The sequence below is a fragment of the Homo sapiens genome, chromosome 8, assembly GCF_000001405.40.
Source record: "Homo sapiens chromosome 8, GRCh38.p14 Primary Assembly".
Taxonomy (NCBI): Eukaryota; Metazoa; Chordata; class Mammalia; order Primates; family Hominidae; genus Homo; species Homo sapiens.
Genome location: NC_000008.11, coordinates 14,671,778 through 14,695,466, shown reverse-complemented (window position 1 = coordinate 14,695,466; position 23,689 = coordinate 14,671,778). Strand labels below are relative to the sequence as shown.

Sequence of the window (23,689 nt, the reverse complement as noted above, 5' to 3'; positions counted from 1 at the left end):
TGATAAATATCCTCTTACATGGTACTTTTGGACACATGAGATAAAGTTTCCACAATATTGCTAATGATACTTATTTTACATGCATTTAATATTACTTCTTTTACTGCTTTAATTAGTTGCAATACATATAAAATAATTGTGTATTCTTTAAGAGTTTATTTTCTACTTTTCTTTATGGTTATAGGTTTTTCCTCTATGAAAAAAGAGCTTTTCATAAGAGAATTATACATAAGTTGTGATGGCAATACATCATTATGTCATCATTATCATCATAAAAATATTTCTAGTTATTTGCTATTTTTTTTTATTTTAACTCCCATTGCAACTAAGATTGACTCTTCCTTTTCTTGAAACTGTCTATCAGCATCAATTTTCTTTGGACATTAGTCACTTTGCTTTTCAGGCAAGAGGAGGAGTTTGTTTTCCAAGGCATTGCAAGTCTCTGCTCTTTTATCCCTTGTCATATTCCGTGCAAATGTGGATAATAAGACACCTGAAAGGTAAATTTTTGAGATCATTTTTTTCTTTTCATTTTATATTAAACATTGCATTTTGAATTTAAATATTGCTTTTGAATCATTTGGGATGATTTTTGAAGACACAAACTACTGAATGTTCTATAGACAATATTTCTGAGCAAATAAATTGCTAACCCAGCAAACTTTTTAAGTGAGACTTTTAGAAATGTGAAAAGAACATTTTTGATAAATAAATATGAGTTATTTCTTTTAAGTAACCATAATTCTGTATATTGAAATGACAGTAAGGTTATTTCTTTACTTGCCTGAAATGTATTGAGCCTGGCACCGTGTTAGATGTGGGAGTGTTCATTGTAAATGAGAAAGGCACAGTCCTTTTTTCCCACAGAAATCAGATTCTATCAGAGCAGGCTCTATTTAGGCAAATCATCCACTAGTTTATTGAGTCCTAGGATCAAATTTTTACTCTGCAGACCAAAGACCTATATTTATTCGGACTAAGGGGTGAGCAAGCCCTGAAGGACTGGTTCTTGACAACTATAATAAACACAGACTAAAGTCAACGTTAGAATATTAATGAATTTTCCAATTAGAATTGATGGCAACAAGAATCTGAATATGCAAAATATCCCAGAAAAATAGATTCTTTGCCTGTATTAAAGGGCAGTCAACATTTCAAAGAGCACTTTTGTAAGAATACAACAAAAGAAAAATTATACTGTTTTATAATAAGGTTCAGGTAAATAGATCTGTTGAGATAGCCTTGCCAGTGGGACCAAAGTACTTGATACCAAGGAAGGTTGCCTTTGCCCTGAGAGTGCTTATTGTGTGCTAAGGGTTATATTTACCCTCTGTTTTTCATACATATTATATTCAATCAATTTTAAGACATGATTTCCCCAAATATTAATATAAGTAGATTTTTGCTCTGTTTTGTAAGAAATGACAACTTACAACTGCTATCAGCCAGGCAACAGTCAAAATAGAATTGTAATTACCTCCAAATGTGGAAACTTGGTCATAACTGCTCAACTGCATAAGGTATATTAATGGTACAGTGTGGCTGAAAATTAATTGCTGTTTAAAATGCCCTCAAGGCCAGACATGGTGGCTCAGGCCTATAATCCCAGCACTTTGGGAGGCTGAGGTGGGCGGATCACCTGAGGTCAGGAGTTTGAGGTCAGCCTGGCCAACATGGTGAAACCCCATCCCTACTAAAAATACAAAAAATTAGCTGGGAGTGGTGGCAGGCGCCTGTAGTCCCAGCTACTTGGGGGGCTGAGGGAGAAGAATCACTTATACCCGGGAGGCGGAGCTTGCAGTGAGCTGAGATCGCGCCACTGCACTCCAGCCTGGGCGACAGAGCGAGACTCCGTCTCAAAAAAAAAAAAAAAAAAAAAAAAAAGCCAGTCGTGGTAGCTGACGCCTGTAATCCCAGTACTTTGGGAGGCCGAGGGGAGTGGATCACCTGAGTTTGAGATCAGCCTGACCAACATGGTGAAACCCTGTCTCTACTAAAACTACAAAAATTATCTGGATGTGGTAGTGCATGCCTGTAATTCCAGCTACTCAGGAGGCTAAGGCAGGAGAATCGCTTGAACCTAGGAGACAGAGGTTGCAGTGAGCCGAGATCGTGCCATTGCACTCCAGTCTGGGTGACAGAGCAAGATTTCATCTGGGGGAAAAAAAAAAAAGGTATTCAATTAATCTTTTTTGAAATGAAAGTAAAATTATTGAGGAATGGAAATTATTAAGGTCATTTTAACAGATTAGAATATTCAATTAATGAATATTTCATATATTCTTCAAGTTAGCATTAGAATATTTATGCACAAATGTAATATAGATCTAACAATTTACTTAATCTTACTTAATCACCACAAACCTGTGTCTTTTTAATTTTTTATTAACACATTTCACCGTGCCTGAAATGTATAAACAGAGAAACTAATTATAGCCACGGTTGCATCTTGGCCACTATCCATTAAAGTTATACAGAGAGCTCTGAAAATATTTTCAGTAATCCATGGCCACTTTTGGGTGAAAGCCAATCGAAGTAAATATTCCATCAAGGTTTAGAATTGTTATTTGCTTTTGCATCTTCGATATCGCGTTCAGTGAAATCAGAAAATTGAAGTTTCATGCTCAAGATTTATTTTCCTGAATAGTTTTTATTTTAGGAGATGAAATATTTGCCATTATTACTAACTCTGAACTCCGAAAGATACAATTTAGGTGATTTTGTCTAAGATAGATATAAAAGGATTCCAATAATTTAGGTGGAACTTTTAAGCAGGTTATGTTCAGTTGGTCCCAAATGGCGATACAAATAGTTCAAATTTTCTGTATTAGATAGCAAAGCATATTTCTCCACAAAGCAGTTGCTTTTTTATGTTTGCTTTACAGACACCTAGGATCAGAGGAAAATATGCCTGGACAATACACTGAATGTGTACAACAAGAATATTTTAATGCTAGGAAATATAAACCAAGATTACTTTCCTATATGGTATTACTGTATTATTGGTGGATAGTGTATTATAGTATGTAGGTATTATTGGTGGATATGTGTATATAAAATAAACTTCTCTGATAATAGTCCTGGTCATCTTAATGGGGCCACCTTATCACTTATGATAATAGTAAATCACCCTTTTCATGTCTGCTTCCTAAACAATATCTATAATTATGCTTCTCTCTTGGCTCATTTGACAATATCCTATGGTTGGTTTTATTCTAAGATATATCATTAATCTTAATGATTTAAGTGTTTGAAATTCTTAAAAATTAATCATTTTTATATATCAATTTAACTATGTAATTTAGGTAGTAAAAAATTAATGGTCAGATGCAACCGGGATTTTATTTTTCTTAATTATAGTTTTTCACAAGAAATTCTTGACTAAAAATAGTAGAATATGTTGTTGACATTCTTGAGAAATTTAAAATAAAATTAGAAATTATTATTTCAATCAATTGATCAAATTATAAGTGAACTATCCTACTAATATTTCACGTATCAATTATGGAAATTTACTAAACTAAAATATTCATTTTGAAAAAACAAGAACACAATATATAGATACAAAATTTGTAATTTATTTTCTCACAAAACAGTTATAAAATTATGTATTAGGGTGACATTTTTGTGTTGTTTTCTTATATTAAGTTTGATTTTTTATTACGGCAAAAAAAATTTTATTGCAGTTTTTGATTGGTTCATTATTGCTATTTTATTATTCTGTATTTGGACACATGATTATGAAGAACGATGTTTAAATCTGACTAACATAACTCATATTCTTACATCTATGCTTTCTTTATTTATGGAACTATTTCTACTATATGAGTCAAATATTCCTTTTTTTTTAGGTGACATTATTCATATCAGTAATATTTAGGATTAGCTGAACCTTTCCAAGAGGCCTATGTGCCTATGATTGCAAAATATTTTGAAATATTTGGAATTCCTGATCTTTTACAATCATATAAATTAGGTTACTTAGACGACATAATTAAGTAACCCTTCCAAATACCCACGCTAGGTCATCCTTTGGTACTTTCTTTCTTTCCCTCATTTACAGTTTGTTTGTTCATGTATCGGTTGACTTGGTTTGTAGATTCTCTGCCACCTAAATGCATTTGTAGAGATTTTTAGCTTCTTTAAACTATCTAAAATAAATATTCCAACATTTTATTTAAAATTTCAAAGAGCAACAGGAGTACGTAGTCTGTATTTTTCAGATCAAGATAATTCTTTCATTCACCAAATAGTGAGTGCCTTATCGAAGTATTGTTGATTCATCTAGATAGACTTCATTCATCATTGAAGAAAAAGACATCCTGTTATGTAGGAATTTGTTTAAGTGGAGAGACAGACAATAAACATAATAAATAAGTGCATTTATAGTATGCTAAAAAGTGATACATATAGTAGGACTTATTAACTTATTGATTCCTTCATGTATTTCTTTCACAGAATGTAGGTTGAATTCTAAGCTTATGTTCACCTGGACACATTGATTATAATGACTTTATAATCTGAAATACTGTAAGTGCAATGCTTACAGCACATACATGACTTTATATTTCACAACACTAACACATATGTACTCTATCAAGAAAGGCTAAATTTGTATTCCATATAAATTCAGTAAGAGTGACTTTTTTCTAAAGTAGCAAATACACTTTTAATTGATTTCAGATAAAAAACACTTGGGGAAGGTCAGTAATTGTTTTACCTAGAGCCATATTCTGAACAGAATGAAGGAACTAACTTAACTGGTTATTTTCATTATTTTACACCAGCCACGGTATTAGAAAAAACTAGGCATTGCATCAGTTTAGGTTAAATGTGTGACTAGAAACCAAATCCCGTCTCTAGTTTTTCTTGAATGCTTCTTTGTGGACTAAGCTTTCATGGTGTCATTCTTGGTCGTTGCTTTCAGTTTATTCCAGACACCCCTTTTGGCCTTGCTGTATTTCTGTATTTATGTCGCCCACGCCACTTGGTTGCAATGTTCTTAGATCAACAGCATCTCATCATCCTTTAGCTTGATCTTGAGGTGCCTAATACCCTCAGCAGCTTTTTCAAACTCAGCCTGAGACCTCCTGGCTGGGTTGCTGGGACCCTAGCAAGCCCACACAGGAGGCAAGGAGTGGGAAGCCATCAGTAAGAGTCAAGAGTGACTTTTGAAATTGTGGAACTAGTCAAACAAGGAGGATAAACTACATACTTAAGATATACGAATTATTTCAGACCGTAATAGGCATAACCCTTTTTCTAAAAATGCTTCCTGTAGTATCCTATACACACAACACGGGCCCAAAATAACCTCTTTAGAAGTCCATGGACTTTAAAAAAAAAAAAAAAAGAGACAACACTCACAATTTACTTAGAAATATTTGTGGCACGAATTTGTCTCATTCTCAACTGCTTTTGTATTCTAAAATCTTCCTTTGAAAGTAAGAATTCACCATTGCTTAATTCATTAAACTTTGTTTTTCTAACCTTATTCTTTGTGACTTTATCACATAACTTTTTTGACTAATTTCTTCAGTGTCCTGCGTAGGCAGTAAGTGACATTGTCATAAACAACCAGTCTCCGCCCATTTTTCTCCTTGGTGTTCTCTGTCCTCACTTTGCTCAATCTAACAAAGCCAGGATACCACAGCTGATGGGGATTCTCTTTAATTATGCGTCTGTTGTATTAATAGATATCCACTGCCTCTATCTGGAAGAACTGACAGTGATTACACAGTTTCATCCTACAAATAAGAGCAGGTGCAGCTGTAGATAGTCCCTGATTAACAATTTCATTTAAATGTTATAACAGATTTCTGTAGGGCAAATTACTCCCACTGGTAAGGAGGTGTACTTTTGTGTATAATATAATTCACTAAATCTAGAATTTAATTATGTTAGTAATAACAAAAGCCCTTAGTGTGCTAAAAATTCCCAAATATATTGGCCCCTTCTATCAAAATAACTACTGTAAAACAAATGAATTGTTACTAGAAATGTTCCTTATGGAGCAAGTATGTAAATAATCTCTCACAGTCCTACTTCTATGGGTATTTTGTTTATTGACATATACATCTTTATAATTTGCATTAAACAATGTATTTGTTTTTTACTTACCACATAATCATAAAATTATTTCATTAATTAAAAGTTTTCAAATGCCTGTGATTTTACCATTTTGCCACTGCTTATTTAAGTTATTCAAACTTTTTCAATTTTCAAAAAAGCTATATAGATTTTTAAAATAAACAATTAAAATTAGTGTATAAAAGCATAAGCCCTTTTTTCTTTTGATATTCATCTCAAAATTACTCTTCAGAAAATTTGTATTAAAGAGCTACTCAAGAGTAGTCAAATACCATTTCCTAGTGCTAACATAGAAAAGAACTATTATAATAATTTTAACAATTGAAATAAGAAAATTCACTGACTGTGCTTGCTTTAAAATTTTTTTTAAATATATTTTTTTCATGATTTGGCTCTCTGTTTGTCTGTTATTGGTGTATAAGAATGCTTGTGATTTTTGTATATTGATTTTGTATCCTGAGACTTTGCTGAAGTTGCTTATCAGCTTAAGGACATTTTGGGCTGAGACAATGGGATTTTCTAGATATACAATCATGTCGTCTGCAAACAGGGACAGCTTGACTTCCTCTTTTCCTAATTGAATACCCTTTATTTCCTTCTCCTGCCTGATTGCCCTGGCCAGAACTTCCAACTACCAATGACTTTCTTCACACAATTGGAAAAAACTACTTTAAAGTTCATATGGCACCAAAAAAGAGCCCGCATTGCCAAGTCAATCCTAAGCCAAAAGTACAATGCTGGAGGCGTCACGCTACCTGATTTCAAACTATACTACAAGGCTACAGTAACCAAAACAGCATGGTACTGGTACCAAAACAGAGATATAGATCAGTGGAACAGAACAGAGCCCTCAGAAATAATGCTGCATATCTACAACTATCTGATCTTTGACAAACCTGAGAAAAACAAGCAATGGGGAATGGATTCCCTATTTAATAAATGGTGCTGGGAAAACTGGCTAGCCATAGGTAGAAAGCTGAACCTGGATCCCTTCCTTACACCTTCTACAAAAATTAATTCAAGATGGATTAAAGACATAAACTTTAGACCTAAAACCATAAAAACCCTAGAAGAAAACCTAGGCATTACCATTCAGGACATAGGCATGGGCAAGGACTTCATGTCTAAAACACCAAAAGCAATGGCAACAAAAGCCAAAGTTGACAAGTGGGATCTAATTAAACTCAAGAGCTTCTGCACAGCAAAAGAAACTACCATCAGAGTGAACAGGCAACCTACAAAATGGGAGAAAATTTTCGCAACCTACTCATCTGACAAAGGGCTAATATCCAAAATCTACAATGGACTCAAACAAATTTACAAGAAAAAACAAACAACCCCATCAAAAAGTGGGCGAAGGACATGAACAGACACTTCTCAAAAGAAGACATTTATGCAGCCAAAAAACACATGAAAAAATGCTCACCATTACAGTCTATCAGAGAAATGCACATCAAAACCACAATGAGATACCATCTCACACCAGTTAGAATGACAATCATTAAAAAGTCAGGAAACAACAGGTGCTGGAGAGGATGTGGAGAAATAGGAACACTTTTACACTATTGGTGGGACTGTAAACTAGTTCATCCATTGTGGAAGTCAGTGTGGCGATTCCTCAGGGATCTAGAACTAGAAATACCATTTGACCCAGCCATCTCATTACTGGGTATATACCCAAAGGACTATAAATCATGCTGCTATAAAGACACATGCACATGTATGTTTATTGCAGCACTATTCACAATAGCAAAGACTTGGAACCAAGCCAAATGTCCAACAATGATAGACTGGATTAAGAAAATGTGGCACATATACACCATGGAATACTATGCAGCCATAAAAAATGATGAGTTCATGTCCTTTGTAGGGACATGGATGAAATTGGAAATCATCATTCTCAGTAAACTTTCGCAAGGACAAAAAACCAAACACCGCATATTCTCACTCATAGGTGGGAATTGAACAATGAGAACACATGGACACAGGAAGGGGAACATCACACTCTGGGAACTGTTGTGGGGTGTGGGGAGGGGGGAGGGATAGCTTTAGGAGATATACCTAATGCTAAATGACGAGTTAATGGGTGCAGCACACCAACATGGCACAAGTATACATATGTAACTAACGTGCACATTGTGCACATGTACCCTAAAACTTAAAGTATAATAATAATAAAATTAAAATATATATATATATATATATTTTTTTTTTCTTTAAAGTGAGTAAAAGCCTTGGGAAATGAACTGTTGTTAAGGTTTCATAATTACATTTATGGCCACTGAAATAATGTAAAATGTACAAATCTTCAAAATACCATTTTGGGCCCAAAGTAGAGAATTTTTTTGTTTATTTGGCTTGGCTTGGTTTTGGTGTGATCCTGTAAATAGTCCTATATTTAATATTATTACTGAATATTTTGTGAGGTGAGTTGCAAAGGCTCAAGTACAATTCAGGGACCCAGTTTGAAAATGTTAATGATGGTTTGTTCGTTTATCCCTTGTGCTGCTGATGAAGCCATGTGGCAGTATCATCTTACTCTCTTTAGCTGATCTTTCTCCCTTCCTGGACAATCAGAATTTGATATTCTTTTTGCAATCATTACATATTTATCATATTCAAAACCATGCATTAAAATATAGGTCACTATTCCAACCTTCTTCCCTGATGTAGTCTAGATCCTTGTGTCCACAATTTCAGCCCCTGCAACATGTCTAAACCTGAAATCTCTATTGCACCCCAGTACCCCTGCTTCTACTTAATAATAGCCATGATCTCCAGAAGCTGAAAACCTGGCCGTCTTCCTGTTTCCCATCTCTATCCTCCTCCCATAATATGCTTTTAAATCTATATGCCTTAGTGACCAATTTATCAATTCCAACTACCTTCTGTCCAACTCTATTACTCCTAGTTTATTTTCAGATCTCTTATATCTCAGTTGAATTATTGAAACAATCTCCTAATTGTTCTTGCTATGTTTCGAGTCCCATCACTCCTGTTTCTCCCTTGGAAACATTTTATTTAGTGCACCAGATTTTTTTCTTTTATTTGTTACTATATTGTATATTTCAAATTACTCAAATTTAGTGCTTACAACATATTACAGCAATTATTCATTTGGATATCCTTTCTATAACCTGATCAGGGTGAAGCCAAGATTCCAAATTACTTCTAAACATATACTGTAAATGATACTCAATAAAGTGATTGGAGGGCAAGAATAATTTTCTATATAAATTGCTCAGATGAGTTTTTATATGCACTACCTGGATAGGAGGTGAGTTAAGTCTTGAGAGCAAAGTCTTCCCGAGACGAAACATATAGTTTGTTAGAAGTAATTAGTTACCTGTTCATTAGTAGAAGTATGGGCTTCCTTAATTTTCCTTTTAGACCACCATATTGTGGTTGAGTATCTGTAGGTTTATTAGTGTAACAGCTAAACCCAAGTCTTGCTGTCATGAATTCTAGTACACTGGTTTGGGGTGGTAAACTAGATGAATGCTCTTTAGTTCAGTGAAAGGTTTATTCATTGTTTAATGAACATTTATTGACAGAATTGTTAACTTGTCGAGGTTTTTTTCCTAACAGCTGTGTGTTCATCTGTAATATTTAAATAGACTTTCCTGTAAATTAAATCATACATTTTACTTTGCATAAAAACTAGCTTTATATGTAATAGATACCAATATTGGTGTTAATGTAGATATGGAAATGAATAATACTGTAAATATTTAATAACTCATATGTAGTGATTAATTAGAATAATACCACAGCCCTACAAAGTTAGCCATTAAAACTGGGTATTGCCTTACTGGAGTATTTCAATGAATAGCAATATTAGTAGTTACATACATGAATTAACCAAAGTATGTTGTAAATTGAGATTGTCATATAAAAGGGCTCCTCCAATTTCATAAACTATGGGATTGAAAAGTTTGAATGTTGTTAATTTAGAAAAATTAACCATTTTCATTTTTTAGATATATTTTAAACGTGCCTTAATAGCTCAAGCTAGACTTCTATCTTTGTCTAATTCTAATAGTAATGAGAGAATTTTTTAATCTTTTTTACTCTGTAATTGGAAATGTCCACCCCAAAATACCACATAATAATTATAAAGTTTGTTTTATTCATATACCTTTACTATTTAAATTATTCCAGGTGCAAATAACTGCTCCATCATGAAATACAAGCAGAACATAACTTGAAGATTTAATTTTCCTTCTTTATCAGTATTAATTTTAGAATATTTAAACTTAGTTTTAATTAATGTGTTTAAATAATTTCTAAATGAATCTCATGGTACAGTCAAGAGGCTGAAGACTTGCTCTACAGATTTCAAATTAATGGTTTTTGACAATTCTAATTAATAATTTATTATACATGCCAATATGTAGACAAAGTTTGCTTGTACATTTAGAAATTTAATTACATAGGAAATGCCACTGCATGTTTAAACAGAGGACCAGGAATTACGACCTGCACAGATAACAGACCTCCCTCCTCCACACATGTGTTTCAGTGAAGGCTGCATTGTTTCTTGAAATGACAAGGGCCTGCTACCAATAGGGTTATGAAGCATTGTAGATTTTTTTTTGAAAGGAAAGACTTCTTTGCAGCAATTTTATATATGATGTGATTCCTGTTAAACTGTTTTACCAAAAACCAAAAAAAAACAAAAAAAGGAAAAACAAAGGTGTCGAAACTATTTCAGCCTCAGATTTGAGATGCATCATTTAGATGAACTTTTTAAAGCTATTTTAATTTTTACACTTATTTGCTTGTGTGTTTTATAGGTATTTTTAATCTGCTACAACATGTTTACAGTATGAATACTCTGAGAAAATTAGTTAGCAAAACTCCAGCAGCTTTAAGAGCACGAGCCAACTCACTACAATGTCCCAAAGCTCTTTTAGCCAGAGTCAGTAACAGAGAAGCCAAAAATATTAGTGAAATTCCTGTAAGTTGTATGAAATGTGATGTAACGAACCAAAATGTGTCTGTACATAAATACGTTGCCATGACTTTTCAATACATGATTTGGTTCCACTTTCCCTAAAGAACTTGATTGTCTTATTTAATACTCAAAAAACAAGCTGTTGTTTATAGAAAAATTATTAAACTGGGCCAAAACATCATTTAAGAAGCCATCAGATGCCAAGTAAAAATTGCATTATGAAGGGAGTGAGTACATGTAGACGTTCATTTAGTTAGAAATGAACAATCATTTTTAAAAAGCTCTGAAACAATTTAATTGATGTAATCACTGGAAAAGTACATAATTTATATATTTAAAAATGGCATGTTGGGTTTCATAATCTCTAGGACTGTATACCATAAACCACTTTTATATATCACTGAGAAAGGAAAAGCACAAGTGATAAACCTATGGCATCCCATGGATTGTGAGATGAAACACATTCAGATTTTAGATATTTTAAAATGTGAAAAATCATGCATCTTAAGATTGATGAAATTCTATAGTTGATGGTACGTTTAAGTGTGTATCAGAGGATATAACTTCTAGTTCCAGATAAGCTAATTAATCTCCAAATGAGAAAATCACTTAATTTTCTCGAGCCCTAAAATGCTATGGTTCTGTACAAGAATGATGGCAATATTTTTTGAAAAAGCTCACTGAAGGAAGAATAAAACAAACCAAAAATTAAGTGAAGAATTATACACTTGTACTATGTTATTTTGTTATGGTATATTTGATGTAAAATTAATTTCCAAGTTGAAGAAATCAAAGTTCCTCTTATTATCTGGGAAAATAAGAATCTTGATCAGATCTAATTTAAACTGTTTTCTAATGATTAATATAATTTACTTGATGAATTTGGGAAGAAGTTATTTACATTGTGTGTTTCAAGTTAATCATGACAAAGAGTTCATATGTATTTTTTCTATTTCTTAGGGTAAATATCTGCCATTAAAGGATAAATATTCTAATTTTTAGTTTTTTCCAATTCTTAAATTCTTTTTTTATATATTGCTTCTGAATGTTTTTGTAGTTCTGAAATTTCTAAATTTATACAAGTGTTATTTCAACGGTTGATGCCACCTTAAACATCTGTCATACTTTCTTGGTGTTAACTCCTGGTAAATGTTGGGTATAAAATGGATTGTAATCGTAAGCATTTATTGTTATTATAAATTAGTCTATTGCCTGAAGATTTCCCTATTAGTATTTAGGCATATTTTACACCTGAGTACCTTGTTGAATCATTGAGATTTCTGATTTTGTGACATACTTGAAGTGTTCTTGTCAGAATCCCAAATATACAGTCATTTATCATCATGGGTTTTCACAAGTTGCTTATTTTGTACCTTATAGAAATATTTGACACCTGGTTCTATTAAATTAAATGGCGTTATCTGGTCATCTTCTATGGCCACCCCAATAATTACAAATTCTGAACACAGATTCAGAGGTGTTGACTTTCACCATCTGCCGGCAAATGTCATCTATGCAGTTATTTACAAAAGGTTAAACAATACTGAATCTAGCCCAATTTACCTTTAAATCAATCAGTTTGGATTTGATCACTGAAATTCAAATGGCTATTTAGATTTCAAAACTGAGTGTTTAAGGTAAAGTATTCTGCATGGTAAAAGACATCTCTGTTTGTTAAGTTATGTGCATGGTTTATGGTGGCTCACGCCTGTAATCCCAGCACTTTGGGAGGCCGAGGCGGGCCGATCACAAGGTCAGGAGATCGAGACCATCCTGGCTAACACAGTGAAATCCCGTCTCTACTAAAAATACAAAAAATTAGCCGGGCGTGGTGGTGGGCGCCTGTAGTCCCAGCTACTCAGGAGGCTGAGGCAGGAGGATGGCGTGAACCCGGGAGGCGGAGATTGCAGTGAGCCGTGATTGCACCACTGCACTCCAGCCTGGGCGACAGAGCAAGACTCTGTCTCAAAAAAAAAAAAAAAATTGCATTGCAGGGTGCATTATATATGTATGTGCATTTTTAATTAAGTTTTACTTATACAAAGTGGTACATAATCTGTACATATGTATTGTTCCTATTATCACCATCTGGTGGATGGGAGGCCTTTCATTGCTTTTCATACTCAAAGTATAATCTTATATTCAAAAATGAAATATTTTCTATAGTACAACCCTAGCCTCTTTTATATTCCTGTTAAAGTTTCCTGTATTTCCCATTGTATTTTCCATCATTTCTTTAGTCGAACAAATTGATCGGCTATTCTCTGAACCTTTCCAGCCTTTGCCATCCATGCTTGAAGCATCACTACATAATAGATTATGCCCCAGGGCTGTGAAATCTGACTACCTGGACTAAAGGTTGGATTGAACCCTTTGCTACCTCTGGGCAGATATGTTATTTTTCTCTGTGCTTCAAATTCGTTCTCTGTTACTATGAATATTAAAGTCATTATTATTATGGATTATTTATTATTAATATTAAAATATATGGAACATTAAAATACTTACCAAACATTAGCTATAAATGTGCCATTTATCATTTAAACTACTTCTCCCTAAGATGCCTGTTGAATTCACTTGTGTCATCTAAAAGCCCATGGGCTTCCTGCCATGCAAGAGGAGAACATTAAAAAACATGCAGAGACCTCTCTCTAAGATATTCATTCACCAAGAAGAAGGGTTGATGAAATAGCTGCTAAATTATAGAATTAATAATCAGGGACATAATTATTTTAGATCTGAGTAATATCTGATCACTGCTGAATTTTACATCTAATCTCATTTTAGGATTATGCGTATGTACTTTGTTACATATATGAATGAGGTATTTCGAAGACCATCATAACTTTAGCTTCTCTTTATATCATTCGAAGTCCGAGCAACATGATCCAGGCAAGGTAACATATACATAGGTGGTATCTATCTTTCTGTAGCCATGAAATGACTAAAACCACAGGTGAAATTAACCTATACATGATAATGTGATGGTTTACATTATATTTCTAAAAGTCCTATTTCTATTTTTTAGTAAAATAGTTTTTGTTGGGTATAGAAGCCTAGGCTGTCATTTTTCCCCCTTTAATACATTAGATATGGCACTTCATTGTCTTGTGGCTTGCATTGTTCCTGATTATACATCTACAGTAATTCCTAATTGTGTTCATCTGTACATAATGTCTTTTTTCCTCCCTCAGGCTGATTGCAAGACTCATAATCATGGATTTTCAGAAATTGTGATATATTTTAGTGTGCTGTGCTGCGTGTTTCTTTGGACTATTTTTTCTTTAATTTACAGTTGTTGTGGGCCTGTTTTTGCCATTATTTCATTAAATGTATTTGTCTAGCTCATTACTCTGAACTAGGGCAATTTCATCTATGGATTTCAATTAAAAGTATGTTAGATCTCCTGGTATTGTGCCAGGGTTCACCGATTTTCTGTTTTTTTTTTTTTTTTTCCCACTCTTTTTCCTCTGTATGTTTCATTTGGATTCTTCAAGTTGCCATATTTTCAAGTTCACTAATGTTTTCTTCTGAGTGTCCAATGTGCTGTTAATCCTGTCCAGTATATATTTCATCTAAGACACTGTATTTTCATCTTTGGGAGTTTAATTTGTGTCTTTTTAAATACAGTCTGTATCTCTCCTCACCAGGCTCATGCCTTTTTCTGCTTTGGAATATATGTAGTATATTTATAAGAGCATTTTAATGTATTTTTTCACTAATTATATCTGTGAGATTTCTTGCTCCGTACAATCTATGTCTCTCCTCACCAGTCTCATGCCTTCTTCTACTTTGGAATATATGCAGTGTATTTATAAGAGCTTTTTAATGTATTTTTTCACTAATTATATCTGTGAGATTTCTTGCTCCGTTTATATGAGTGATTTTTATTTCATTTTTAATAGATAATTTTTAGAACAGTATTTAGTTCATAGTAAAATTGAACAAAAGGAACAGAAATATCATATATTGCCACCATGCATACATAGTTTCCCCATTGTAAACATCTCCCAAAGTGCCACAGTTTTTACAGCTGGTTAACCTATACTGACATATCATTATCACTAATACGGAAAGTTTACATTAGGGTTCCCTTTTGGTGTTGTATGTTCTATGGGTTTTGTTAAGTTTATAATGACACGTATACACCATTATAGCATCATACAGAGCAGTTTCACTGCCCTAAAATTCCACCATGTTTTGCCTGTTTATCTCTACCCCCTCCACTTCACCTCTTGCAACCACTGTACTTTTTAGTGTCTCCATAACGTTGCACTTTCCAGAATATCACATATAGTCATGCATGACTTCACAGTGGAGATACATTCTGAGAAACACATACTTAGACAATTTCATCATTGTGCAAATATTATGGAAAATACTTAAACCTAGCTGGTATAGCCTACTACACACATCGACTGCATGGTGTAGCCTGAGTTACAAACCTGTAAACCATTTTACTGTTCTGAGTACTGTAGGCATTTGTAACACAATGGTAAGTGTGTATCAAAATTATTTAAAGTTAAAAAAATAAAAAATATATAGTATCAAAGAGAAAAAATGGGTATCAAAGAAAACATCTGTATAGGAAACTTACCATGAAAGGAGCTTGCAGGTCTAGAAGTTATTCTGGGTGAGTAGGTGGCTAGTGAATATAAAGGGATAAGACATTACTATGCACTATTGGGGACTTTATAAACACTGTACCTTAGGCTACACTAAATTTATGAGAATATTTTTCTTCAATAATAAATTAACTTTAGCTTACTGTAACTGTTTTATTTATAAATCTTTATATTTCTTCAAATTTTTACTTTTTCTGTAATAACACTTAAAGCACAAAACCATTGTATAGATGCACAAAGTATTTTATGTAATGATTTTATAAGCACATATATGTGTGTATATATATAATATATATGTATATATATTACTTTTTTGATAAAAACTAATACACGAACACACATATTAGTTTGGGCCTATGCGGGGTCAGGATCATCAATGTCACTGTCTTCCCCCTGTACATCTTGTACCACTAACATGTCTTCAGGGCCAATAACAGGCATAGAGTTGTCATCTCCTATGATAAAAGAAATACCTCCTGAAAGATCTTCCTGAGGCTTACAGTTAACTTTAAAAAAAATATGTATGCAAAAGAAGCACACTCTAAAATAATAATACAATTTATGGTATAGTAAATATATGAACCAGTAAGTCATTTTATCATTATCAAGTATTATGTATTGTAAGTAATTGTATGTGATATATTATTATATGACTGGCAGTGCAGTAGGTCGGTTTATACCTGCACTACCTCAAACACATGTGCCATGCACTATGAGTTTACGACAGTATGACATCACTAGACGATAGGAATTTTTGAGCTTCATTATAATCTTATGATAGGACAGGCAACTATCATACGTGCTGTCTGTCCTTGACTGAAATGTTGGTATGCTGTATTTGGAATCTTACAGTATGTAGGCTTTTCAGATTAGCTTCTGTCATTTAGTAATATGCACTTAAGTTTTCTCTATATCTTTTCATAGCTTGATATTTTATTTATCTTTAATGCTAAATAATATTCCATCATCTGGGTGTACCAGTGTATTTATCTGTTCACCTACTGAAGAACATCTTGGTTGCTTCCAAGTTTTTTCAATTATGAATAAATATCAACTTTCAAGTGCAGGTTTTTCTATGAACATAGGTTTTCAATTCCTTTTGAGGAAGACCGTGGAGCACGATTGCTGGATCATAGGATAAGCATTTATATAGTTTTGTAGGAAACTGTCAAAGCCTTTTCCAGAGTGGCTGTACCATTTTGCATTCTTACCAGCAATGGATGAGAATTGCTTTTGCGCCACATCCTTACTAGCATTTGGTGTTGTCAATATTATGGTTTTGGCAATTTTAATAAGTTCTTAGTGGCATATCATTGTTGTTTTACTTTGCATTTCCCTGATGATATATAATGTGGAGCATCTTGTCATATGGTTATTTACCATTGGTACATCTTCTTTGGTGAAGTGTCTATTAAGGTGTCTGGCCCATTTTTTAGTAGATTGGTTTGATTTCTTATTTTAAGAGTTCTCTGTATATTTTTGGTTATTGTCCTTTTTCAAATATGTTTTCTACAATATTTTCTCTTAGCCTGTAGCTTATCTTTTCATACTTTTGACAGTGTCTTTCAATAAGCAGAAGTTTTCATTTTATTTTAATGAAATCCAATTTATTAATTCTTTGTTCCATGGATTATGTCTTTGTTGTTGTATCTACGTCAACATTGCCAAACAAAAGCTCATCTAGATTTTCTCCTATGTTACTTGAAATTTTACAGTTCTGTGTTTTCCATTTAAGTTTGTGATCCATTTTGTATTAATTTTTGTGAAGGATTCAAAGTCTGTGTCTAAATTAATTGTTTTGTCTGTTTCTGGGCACTTTGCTGTTATATTGCTCTGTTTGTCTATTATTTCACCAGTACCATATTATCTTGATTTCCATAGCTTTATAGTAAATACTAGGGTCAGATAAATATCAGTCCTCCAACTTCGTTCTCCTCCTTCAATGTTATTTTAGCTGTTCTAGGCCTTTTGCCTCTCCATATAAAGTTTACTTATTTATTTATTTATTTATGTATTTATTTATTTAGACGGAGTCTCATTCTGTTGCCCATACTGGAGTTTACTTGTGCGATCTTGGCTCACTGCAACCTCTGCCTCCCAGGTTCAAGCGATTCTCTTGCCTCAGCCTCCTGAGTAGCTTGTATTACAGGCACAGGCCACCCCTCCTGGCTTATTTTTGTATTTTTAGTAGAGACTGGGTTTCACTGTATTTGCCAGGCTGGCCTCTAACTCCTGGCCTCAAGTGATCTGCTCACCTCAGCCTCTCAAAAAGCTGGATTACAGGTGTGAGCCACCCCGCCCGGCCCATATAGAATCAGTTTGTTGTTATTCATAACAATATGTAGAATCAATTTGTTGTTATTCATAAAATAAGCTGAGATTTTGATTGGGTTGCATTATATCTATGAATCAAGTTGGGAAGAACTAATATATTGACAATATTGAGTGTTCCTATCCATGAACATGAAATATTTCTTCATTTTCTAGTTATTTGATTTCTTTGATCAGAGTCTTATAATTTTCTTTATATATATCTTTTATATTTTTCTAGATTTACTTCTAAGTATTTTATTTTTGGATGCTAATGTAAATGATGCTGTGTTTTAATTTCAGTTCCCACTTTCTCATTGCTGGCATATAAGTTTTTGACTTTTGTATATTAATGTTGCATCACCTTGCTATTATCACTTATTTGCTCCAGGAGAGGTTTTTTTTTGGTCAGTTCTTTTTAATTTTCTACATAGACAATTATGTCATCTGTTAACAAATATTGTTTTATTTCTTCCTTCCTTATCTTTATATCCTTGTTTATTTTTTTCTTTCTTATTGCATTAACTAGAATTTACAGTATGATGTTGAAAAAGAGTGACGAGAAGAGGCATCCTTACCTTATTCCTTATCTTTGCAGTAAATCTGGTAGTTTCTAGCCGTTAAGTATGGTGTTAGCTGTACGTTTTTTACAGATATTATTAAGCTTAGAAAATACGCTTTATTTCTTGTTTTCTAAGAGCTTTTTCATTTCACTAACAGGTGTTGGATTTTATCAGATTCTTTTCTGCATCTGTTGATATGATCATGTGTTTTTATTAGTTGATTTTTATCCTTCTTAAGGTTCATGCTTTTCCACTTCTTTGCATATCTTGTATTTTTCTAATGCCACACATCGTGGTTTATATTATTGTGCAGTAGGTTTTGGGGAATTTCTTTAAATAATGTTGGACTATTTTCCTGTGAGGCAGTTAAATCATTGTGATTAATTTTGAGGTTTACTCTGATAGAGATGGAGTCTCACTCTGTCTCCAGGCTGAAGTGCCATAGCACAATCATACCTCATCACAGCCTCGAAGTCCTGGACTCAAGTGATCCTCCTGTCTCAGCCTCCCAAGTAGCTAGAACTACAGGCATATGCCATCAGGGCTGGAGATACACACACACACACACACACACATCTATTTCATTTTTGTAGAGGTGGGATCTCTCTATGCTGTTCAGGCTGGTCTCAAACTCCTGGCCTTAAGAGATCTTTCTGCATTGGCCTTAAGAGATCCTTCTGCATTGGCCTCCAAAAGTTCTGGCATTGCAGGGATGATACTTTTGAGTGCAGAGACAGAATAGCCTGTAGTCTAGGTTCAACATTATATCATGTGTTAGGAGGTCTTTATTCTTTCTGGTAGGAACACAAACTATTCCTGAGTTGGGTTGATCCCTGAGAATTATTCCTCCCACTTCATTCCTCTGCTAGTTTTCTTCCCTGGTCTCAGTAGTTTTCTCAAATACGTGCACCTAACAGTACAGAAAATATTTAAGGAACCACTCTGCAGGTGTTTCTGTTTACCTTCCATCTATCTGCTATTCTGGTCAAAATTCTCACCACCTTAGCCTCCCTGACCTCTGAAACCTGTCTCCAAACTCAGCAAGAATAATGAGCTTTGTTTGGGTCCCCCAAATCTGCACAGCAGTTTGGAAATTCATTCCATGCAATGAGCTCATCTTGCTTGTTTTTATCTTTGATATCAGTGTTATTTGTTTCCATTTTCCCTGAAAAGATGATATTTTACATATTTTGTTGGGAGTTCCAGGTGTTTAAGGCAAGACGGGAAATCAGAGTTGTGTTTCTGTCCCTCTCTTTCTGTCCATTGTTTTTGCTCATCACATTTTTTCCAGCACCTGGGCAAGCAGCTGCCAAACAGTAGGAGCTCAGTGTATATTTTTTGGTAATTTAACATATTTTCTCATATAAATTGAGGAATCTATATATACAATGGTAAAGTGTATACACTCTGTAAAGTGTATACAGTGGTCAATAAATAAGCCATTTAAAATGTGATTTTAATGTATAGAGCTTCTATTATATAATATTTTCCTCTGTATTTAATATGTGAATTACATACCTCTAAAATGGACCTTTCTGAAACAATAAATATATGTTGTACATTCTAAAGAGAGAAATGTTTGTTTCGGTATTATGCATTATTTATGGACTACTGTATTGTTCTGTTCTTGCATTGCTAAAAATAAATACCTGAGACTGGGTAATTTATAAGAAAAGAGGTTTGGCCGGGTGCGGTGGCTCACACCTGTAATCCCAGCACTTTGGGAGGCCGAGGTGGGCAGATCACGAGATCAGGAGATCGAGACCATCCTGACTAACACGGTGAAAGCCTGTCTCTACTAAAAATACAAAAAAAATTAGCCAGGCGTGGTGGCGGGTGCCTATAGTCCCAGCAACTCCTGAGGCTGAAGCAGGAGAATGGCGTGAACCCGGGAGGCAGAGCTTGCAGTGAGCTGGGTTCACGCCACTGTACTTCAGCCTGGACGACAGAGGGAGACTCCATCTCAAAAAAAAAAAAAAAAAAAAAAAAAAAACAGAAAAGAAAAGAGGTTAAATTGGCTCACTGTACAGGAAGCATGATGGCATCTGCTTCTGGGGAGGCCTCAACGAGATTTTATTCATGGTGGAAGGCAAAGTGGGAGCAGGCAGTTTACATGGCAAAAGCAGGAGGAGGAGAGGGCAGGGGAGGGGCTACACACTTTTAAATGATCAGATCTCTTGAGAACTCACTCACTATTTCAAGGACAATACAAAGGGGATGGAGCTAAACCGTTTATGAGAAATCCACCCCCATGATCCACAATCACCTCCCACCAGGTCCCACGTCAAACATTGTGGATTACAATTAAACATGAAATTTGGGTGGGAAAGTAACCCAAACCGTATCAAAACTGAAATTTGTGGAATGAATAGAATAGCACCATATAGGTTTATTGTAAACTACACATTTTATTTTCAAACCAATTTTGCATATTTATAGCTATACTATCAGGAACTAAAGATCAGTTCAACATAATATGCTCCATTTAGCTACTTCTGTACAATTAGTTTATCTTTTTTCTTGTAAATTTAATCTTAAAAATGAGCTGTTTTAATTACTTTGAACAATAGTAGTTTCCCACACATTTTTACTCTTATCTTTTAACTAAAAGAAAAGAAATAGTTTCCTTAAACAAACTTGAATTAAGGTTTTACGTTGGTGTTTTTGGTGTAGGAAACACCGAAATCAGGATGATTTCACGTTTAGAAAAAAAAACAAGAAAAAGGGATTCTTACTTTTCTTTTAAAAATTAGCTAAGCTAACATGAAAACAGATAACTACCTATTTATGTTTTATTCTGAGTTATACTTTATTGAAGGTTTTAACAGTTTATACTAATTTCTAAAAAAATAAAAATATATAAATTTATTCATCGAACTTCATCTCCAAATTAGTATTTATCTTGTGGATCACTTTAAAGCATTTAAAAGTGTGTGACACATTCAATAACAAAGATATTTACTGCCAATTACCTTTCTTGTTTTGAACGTCTTCTTATCAATGAAACTAAAATAAAAATGAATATATTGTGTATATCACAGATCATACATTTTTATAAACTTTGTGTTTACTTTTAGTTTTCTTTTGCATTAATTTTAGGGCCTAGAATAATTGAGTAGCATCTACATCGGGCATCAGATTGTCCTTGGTTTTCTTTTCTTCCATTTTTAATTTGTTCATCTGTACATTAATTTGTTCATTTATTCGTTCATTTATTCAAGTCATATTAAGCATTTATAAATCTGATTCCTGACCTCTATATATTTACCATTGTATTAGTCCATTTTCACACTGCTATAAAAATATTGCCAGAGACTGGGTAATTTATAAATAAGAGAGGTTTAATTGACTCACAGTTCCACATGGATTGGGAGGCCTCAGGAAACTTACAATCATGGCGAAGGCAAAGGGGAAGCAGGCACCTACTTCAGAAGATGGCAGGAGAGAGAGAGAGAGTGAGAGAGAGAGAGAGAGACAGCGCGAGCGCGAGAGAGAGACAGCGCGAGCGCGAGAGAGAGCAGGTGAAACTGCCACTTATAAAACCACCAGATCTCATGAGAACTCCCTCATTATCATGAGAATAGCATGGGGGAAACCACCCCCATGATACAATCACCTCCCACCAGGTCCGTCCCTTGACATGTGGGAATTACAGTTTGAGATGAGATTTGGGTGGGGATACAGAGCCAAACCATATCAACCATCTAATAGGTCATAAATTAATGTTTACAAGACAGTATAGTGGTTACAATACAGGGTAAACATCATAACACTCACTATGTTGTATAGATGGGATAATGGGATGTGATACAATGGAAACATAAAAGAAGTACACCAGGACATTTGAGGTGGGTAATCTAGACCAAAAGCTGGCAAACAACAGCCTCAGGCCAAATCTTGCCTGCTGTGTGTTTTTATAAATTACTTTTGCTTGAAACACAGCAACACTGCTTTCTTTCCAGTTTGTCTGGTTTCTCTCTCTGTACAACAGCAGAGATGAGTAGTTGCAGCATAGACCATGTGACCCAGAAAGGCTAAAATATTTTTCTGACCCCTTTATAAGAAAAAGATTACTGATCCTTTATGTAGACCATTTATTCATACTCTATGAGTAAAAGCAAAGAGGTCTTACTAGTACTAGGAGAGACAGCAGAATGAAGTAAAGGTAGTGTTAAAGAAGTTCTGGAGGCCTGAGGTGACTAAAAAATTTAGAATTTTCTGTGATGGAGGGTTGTCCTGAGCACAACCAGTGTCTTCATTCAAACACTGTTTCCTCCAAAAAGCTTTTCTTGTAGTTTCCCAGCCAGAGTTAGTTACTTCCTGCTCCAACCATTATATTTATGTTATTACAGCACCTACTGTAGGTGGCTACATGATTTAAGAGCAAGAACCATCCTTTTTCATCTTTGAATCATCTTTAAAACATATATTCTAATAATAGCACTTCAGGGCTGAATATTAAATACATACATACATGAATTTAAAAAACAACCACCAGCTTGATTCCTGTAGTTTAAAAGCCCAATCATGTTTCTTGCAAGAATATTCTTAAAATCGCACATCTGACCAATCAGCAAATATTTACAGCTGGTTTTCCGCTATGGAATATGAGACATTGGGCATTAACAGCTTAGCAAATGGCAGATTACTATTTTATTGAACATTTTAATAATTATATATTTTAAATAACTAGATAAAATAGCTTTCAAAATGTGGTCATAGTTAACTGCCAGATGAGTGGTATAGTTTGTACGTAACCTATTCATGGCATTTAGAAGGCAAAGAGAACCTCACAGTTCTTTTTAAATTCCCGCATTATTTATTTTCAGTACTCTTCCTCTATTTCCTAAATGAAATGAGTCCTAATAACTTCTGGGTCGGTAGCTAAGATTTGTGATTTTTATTCCCAAATTGGAAGATAGTCTGTTTTCAATGTAGCTGTCTCTTCAGTTTCGAAAATGATGTTTTATGATATTAATAAGGCAAAATGGCAAAATATGTTAGAGTAATTAATAATTAATTACATTAGTATGTTTATGTTGGGAAGACATATTCCAGAATTAGGATATACGGAAGAGAGAAGACACCAATGCCTATATATATTCAATACGGAATTAAAATATATCTTTGGAAAAAATTGTTTT

At 34.0% G+C, this 23,689-nt stretch overlaps 1 protein-coding gene across 4 annotated transcripts in view, besides 2 other annotated features; it reads left to right on the top strand.

Moving 5' to 3' along the window:
* The window catches only part of SGCZ (sarcoglycan zeta), a 1,153,587-nt gene that overhangs the window by 542,965 nt on the left and 586,933 nt on the right, over positions 1–23,689 (top strand). The window lies entirely within an intron of this gene.
* Positions 21,522–22,022: an enhancer, noted in NCBI's record as "H3K4me1 hESC enhancer chr8:14530954-14531454 (GRCh37/hg19 assembly coordinates)". NCBI's record gives its function as "activates a minimal SCP1, AML or CMV promoter by ChIP-STARR-seq in naive H9 embryonic stem cells {active_cell/tissue: H9 hESC(naive)}" and the evidence as "EXISTENCE:reporter gene assay evidence [ECO:0000049][PMID:30033119]".
* Positions 22,023–22,524: an enhancer, noted in NCBI's record as "H3K4me1 hESC enhancer chr8:14530452-14530953 (GRCh37/hg19 assembly coordinates)". NCBI's record gives its function as "activates a minimal SCP1, AML or CMV promoter by ChIP-STARR-seq in naive H9 embryonic stem cells {active_cell/tissue: H9 hESC(naive)}" and the evidence as "EXISTENCE:reporter gene assay evidence [ECO:0000049][PMID:30033119]".